The following is a 5,616-nucleotide window of genomic DNA, read 5'->3' on the forward strand; positions in this document are numbered from 1 at the left end:
GACCCTTTCTCCCAAGGGGAAACTAGTAAGAAGTTTTCAAGCAGAGGAGTAATGAGATCAGGTTTCCATTTGAGGAAGATGACTGCAGTGGAGAAGATGACAGTGTGCAGACAGACTTTCAACTCTTCTACTCACTTCTCCGGTAGATTGTTGAGTGCTAACCTTTATATATTTGTATCATTCATGTACATATGTTATCACTGGTTTGGGGTTTTTTTTTCATGCCATTTTTTATTCAGGAGGGTCTAACATTTCTTTAACCTGAGAAGTACAATTTTTCTTTTTCTTTTTTCTTTTTTGAGATGGAGTTTCACTCTTGTTGCCCAGGCTGGAGTGCAGTGGTGTGCTCTCGGCTCACCACAACCTCCGCCTCCCGGGTTCAAGCGATTCTCCTGCCTCAGCCACTTGAGTAGCTGGAATTACAGGTGCCCACCACCATGCCCGGCTAATTTTTGTATTTTTAGTAGAGACAGGGTTTCACCGTGTTGGCCAGGAGAGTTCGAGACCAGAACTCCTGACCTTAAGTGATTCATCTGCCTCAGCCTCCCAGAATGCTGGGATGACAGGCATGAGCCACTGCGCCCGGCCGAGATATAGTTAATATATCATAACGTTCATGTTAAAGCGTATGAGTCGGTGGTTTTTAGTGTATTCACAGAGTTGCGCAACCATTACCACAGTCTAATTCCAGAACGTTTCCATCACCCCAGAAAGGTACCCATTAGGCGTCACCTTCGATTCCCCATCCCTCTAGTCCAAGGCAACCATTAAAGTACTTTCTGTCTCTGTGGATTTGCCTGTTCTGGATATTTCATATGGATGGAATCACAAAATACATAGCCTTTTGTGTCTGGCTTCTTTCACTGAGCATCATGTTTTCAAGGCTCATCTGTGGTCGGTGTAATAAGTATCAGTGCTTCATTCCTTTTTTTTTTTTTTTTTTTTTTTGAGATGGGGTTTCATTCTTGTCACCCAGGCTGGAGGGCAGTGGTGCGATCTCGGCTCACTGCAACCTCCACCTCCCAGGTTCAAGTGATTCTCCTGCCTCAGCTTCCCAAGTAGCTGGGCTTACAGGCTCCCGCCAGCACACCCGGCTAATTTTTCTGTATTTTTTAGTAGAGATGGGGTTTCACTATGTTGCCCAGGCTGGTTTTGAACTCCTGGCCTCAAGTGATCCGCCCACCTCGGCCTCCCAAAGTGCTGGGATTACAGGCATGAGCCACTGAGCCCGGCCCATATCACTATGTTTCAAACCAGTTATTATTGTCATATGTACTTTCACGATTTTTTTTTTTTTTTTGAGACAGAGTTGCTCTGTCAGCAGGCTGGAGTGCAGTGGCGCGATCTCGGCTCACTGCAACCTCCACCTCCCAGGTTCAACGTTCAACTTGGACATACTTTAAATTTGTTGGAGTATATTATTAATTCTCCTTCATGCTGTGATCCAATTGGTAGAACAATTTATGTTAAATCACTTCCTGAGTGGGATGCTGCTTCAGGGTTGCCATGGTGTTCTGAGACTTAGGAAACTCCAGTCCCCTCTGTGTTCTAGCCTGGGGCTAGGCTAGAATTGTTTCAGCTTTTTTTTTTTTTTTTTTTTTTGAGACGGAGTCTTGCTCTGTCACCCAGGCTGGAGTGTACTGTCGCGATCTCAGCTCACTGCAACCTCCACCTCCCAGGTTCAAGCGATTCTCCTCCCTCAGCCTCCTGAGTAGCTGGGACCACGGGCACATGCCACCACGCCTGGCTAATTTTTTGTATTTTTAGTAGAGACGGGGTTTCACTGTGTTAGCCAGCATGGTCTCGATCTCCTGACCTCGTGATCTGCCTGCCTCTGCCTCCCAAAGTGCTGGGATTACAGGCGTGAGTCACCCTGCCCGGCCTCTGCTTTTTTTTTTCTCCTGCAGGAGGGTCTCACTTTGTCGCCCGGGATCGAGTACAGTGGCATGAACATGGCTCACTGCAGCCTTGACTTCCTGGGCTCAAGCAATCCTCCTACCTCAGCCCCCAAAGTAGCTGGGACTGCAGCCATGTGCCACCACGCCCAGCTAATGTTTGTATTTTTTGTAGAAACGGGGTCTCGATATGTTGCCCAAGCTGCTCTCGAACTCCTTGGTTCAGGCGATCCTCCTGTCTCGGCTTCCCAAAGTGCTGGGATTAGAAGCCAGAGCCACCACGCTCAGCCCTTTGCTGAACTTTTAACAAACAACTCTTGCTGCCTTTCGGTTGGTTTCTTTCAGTTGCTCAGGGTGGTCCTGCCTCTGAAGGAGGGCTCCACTTGCCTTTCTTTTGCTGTCTCCTCTGTATCCACACCTTTCTGGCCTTCTGGTCCCCTTGCCCTGCCTGGTGGCAGCCGGACCTCACGTCTCATGCTGTTTGTGGGCTTCGATGCTCGTGGTCTCCTCGGATGTCCCCTCACAGTCCTGTCCCGGGTCCCTGGCCACAGCCCCTGGGTGACGGCACCCCCGTCTTCATCCCTCCCTCCCCAAGGACTGTCCTCTTCAGCACTGCCCACAAGCCCTGGGCTGAGGTCATCCCCTGCAGTTACGAGATGCAGCACTCTCTCAGGGACCTGGTCCCACTGAAGGCCTTCCTGCTGGCGGGGACCACCGTGACCATCGTGGAGGAGAAGGTGGGCAGGCGGAGGCAGTGCCCGGCCATCCACAGGCTGCACTTCTGTCCTTGTTCCTGTTCCCATCGGGCTGTCCCCCATGGGAGCCGCACTCCCTGGTTAGATGAGTTCTCAGCGCCATTCCAGAAAGGGTGAGGGAGAGGTGACCCCAGGCAGCCCGCCTGGGCCTCTGCTCACTCGAGGATTCTCTCCTGCCCCTAGATTCTCTCCTGGCCTGTGGTGCTACCTGCTGTTGACAGTCCCCTGTCTGCCAAGAAAGGAAAGGGGGAGAAAGACAAGAAAGGGAAGGAGAAAGACAGGACGGGGAAAGGAGAGAAAGAGCCGGCCAAGGTACCGGGCCTTGGTGCTGGGGAGGGCAGCCTGGCCACACCCTTGCTTCAACTTGTCCCACCCTCCTGTCCTCCCGTCGTCGCAGGAGTGGAAGGTGCTGAAGAAGAAGAAAGAGCCGCCCAAGGAGCTCCGGCAGGACCCCCCCATCCTCCAGGTGCTGGGCCGGGGCCTGGTGATCCTGGAGCCCCTGCTCGCCGGGGAGCCCCTGGTGTCCACCGTGTGCAACTTCGGCGTGGTCCGCACATTGACATCTGACAGGCTGACGTTGGCCAGGGTACAGCCGGGCCCTAGCCACATCCTCCACCTCTGCCTTCGCCCTCCCCATGGGAACCCCGCGGGCAAGCAAGGGCTGTGGGCCCAGGTCACGGGATGGGGAGGAGGTGGTGGGGAGGGCCTTTCCCTGGGGCATGCAGCTGGGCTGCTGGTGCTGCCGCCTGCACAGAGGGCGCCTCCGTGGACTTTGGCCCAGTCAGCAGCCTTCCCTTTGGGGATGGGCTGGGGCAGCCACCCTCACCAGGAGACCCCCGCCTTCCTGGACCTGTCAGAGCCTTGGAGGAGGTGGGGCCCCAGAGACACCCCTTCTCTAGTACCTCCCCTCTCCAGTAAGCATCTCGTTTTGTGGTTCTTTCTCTCAGGATTCAAAGAAGATTAAGAAAGTTGCCAAAAAAGGTGAGTGCCGATGGTGGTGACCAAAGGCAGGGATTGTCAGGAGGACCTGCTGAGGGCCAGCCCTGGGGGAGGCCAAAGGAACCAAAGGGTGGGGAATGGTAGCTTCTGGCCTGGGGAGAGGCCACATCCCCCCTTAGATCCAGTGTTATTATTTCTTCTCTGCAGCCCTCAGACCACAGGGCCTGTGTGGGTGGTGACCAGGGTGGGGAAGGCACCTGTGGTAGAGCCATAGCGGGGCAAGAGCTTGGAGCTGGGGCTGCCTGGGGCTCATCTGGTTCCGAGGTGTCTGCCTCCAGCTTCAGGCCATCGGCCCTTATTTGCTGTAAGAGGGGCCTGGGCTTGTCCTGTGGGGAGCTGGAGAAGCATCTGAAATGGGTGCGTCTCAGGTTTGAGGTTCAGAAAGAACAACCAACTGGGAGGGAGAGAAAGGAGACAGGGAGTGCCGTGGGAGGTGGCTGCAAAAAGCATGAGGCCCGATCATAGCAGAGCAACCCATCATACTGAAGCCGAAAAGTGGAAACAGGCCCAACATGGTGGCTCACGCCTGTAATCCCAGCACTTTGGCGTGCGGATCACCTGAGGTGAGGAGTTCGAGACCAGCCTAGCCAACATGGTGAAACCCCGTCTCTACTGAAAACACAAAAATTAGCCAGGTGCGGTGGTGGGTGCCTGTAATCCCAGCTACTCAGGAGACTGAGGCAGGAGAGTCGCTTGAACCTGGAAGGCAGAGGTGGCAGTGAGCTGAGATCGCGCCATTTCACGCCAGCCTGAAGAAGTAAACGTTGGAGGGCATATGCTGCTGGACTTCAAAACCCATGCCTATATGAACATGTGATTTGTGATACTTATCTGTGGGTTAAGATGGCCTTAAAAAGGTTTTTTTTTTTTTAATCTCTTTAATGTTTGGCTTAATTGAAGACAGCTGGATTCTTACAGCTACTTCTGCAGTCAACTGCTTGCAATATGTTGCTGTAATTGACGTGCACAAAGAAAATCCAACCTCAGGCCCATAATTGGAAAAGAGGGAGTATTTTAATAGACCTTAAAATAATATAATTTCTTTAATATTACACCAAATTTGACAAGTGGTAATTTCTTAAAGGTTGTTACAATGTGAAAACAATCTATATTGAATTTTTCATAATCAGATTAAAATTCATTAATCTAGTTTGCATTTTGAACGGATATTTTACCATGCAGTTTGTAACATGCATGAGTTACTTGTAAACTACAGGTTAACAGACTTATGCAGATATTCCAACAGTTGACACCTGTCACTATACATTTTCCAAAGATCACGTTCTTTACTATCACCACCCACATCATTAGAAAGGTCTTTGCGTATTGGAAAATTGGTAAATTCATGGTGGCAGATACAATGTTGTCTCATTTTTAGGGCAAATGTTATACATTTATTGAAATGCTTTCAGTTGTTTCCCCTGAAGTGCTATAATTACTTCATTTTTAAGAAAATATCTGCAGCTGGGCTCGGTAGTGTACGCCTGTGATCCTAGCACGTTGGGAGGCCTAGGCAGGCGGATCACTTGAGGTCAGGAGTTCGAGACCAGGCTGGCCAACATGGTGAAACCCCGTCTCTACTAAAACTACAAAAAATAGCCGGTCGTGGTGACAGGCGCCTGTAATCCCAGCTACTTGGAGGCTGACGCAGGAGAATCGCTTGAACCTGGGAGGCGGAGGTTGCAGTGAGCCGGGATCATGCCACCGCACTCCAGCCTGGGCGACGGAGCACGACACTGTCTCAAAGCAAAAAGCAGCCAGTCTTGCAACTCAAACAGCTGCGATTTATTAAATGATCTAATTAAATACAATTTAATTTTATTTCTTATTACTGTTAACACCCGAGGACCAAAACTGTGCTCCCGCTGGGACAGGGTCCAGGGCTTGCATATGGGATGGGTCAGGGCGGCCGAGAACGCCAGCCCATCCGTCTCCCGGGGCTCATGCTCGCACTTAAATTTTCTCAG

At 51.4% G+C, this 5,616-nt stretch overlaps 1 protein-coding gene across 11 annotated transcripts in view; it reads left to right on the plus strand.

Moving 5' to 3' along the window:
- Positions 1-5,616, plus strand: part of LRRC43 (leucine rich repeat containing 43) — a 35,753-nt gene that overhangs the window by 29,980 nt on the left and 157 nt on the right. For 5 of the 11 annotated variants that reach the window (XM_047428659.1, XM_047428658.1, XM_047428660.1 and 2 more), the window contains 5 exons: positions 2,491-2,632; positions 2,834-2,962; positions 3,048-3,236; positions 3,598-3,631; positions 4,018-4,232. In XM_047428659.1, coding sequence (XP_047284615.1) covers positions 2,491-2,632; positions 2,834-2,962; positions 3,048-3,236; positions 3,598-3,631; positions 4,018-4,181 — 658 coding nt within the window. In that variant the 3' untranslated portion in view covers positions 4,182-4,232. Of the gene's footprint in view, positions 1-2,490; positions 2,633-2,833; positions 3,237-3,597; positions 3,632-4,017; positions 4,233-4,280; positions 5,461-5,616 lie in introns of those variants that run through there. The other 6 variants (NM_152759.5, XM_017019124.2, NM_001098519.2 and 3 more) reach the window with 3 other exon arrangements.

The sequence above is a fragment of the Homo sapiens genome, chromosome 12 (genome assembly GCF_000001405.40).
Source record: "Homo sapiens chromosome 12, GRCh38.p14 Primary Assembly".
Lineage (NCBI taxonomy): Eukaryota > Metazoa > Chordata > Mammalia > Primates > Hominidae > Homo > Homo sapiens.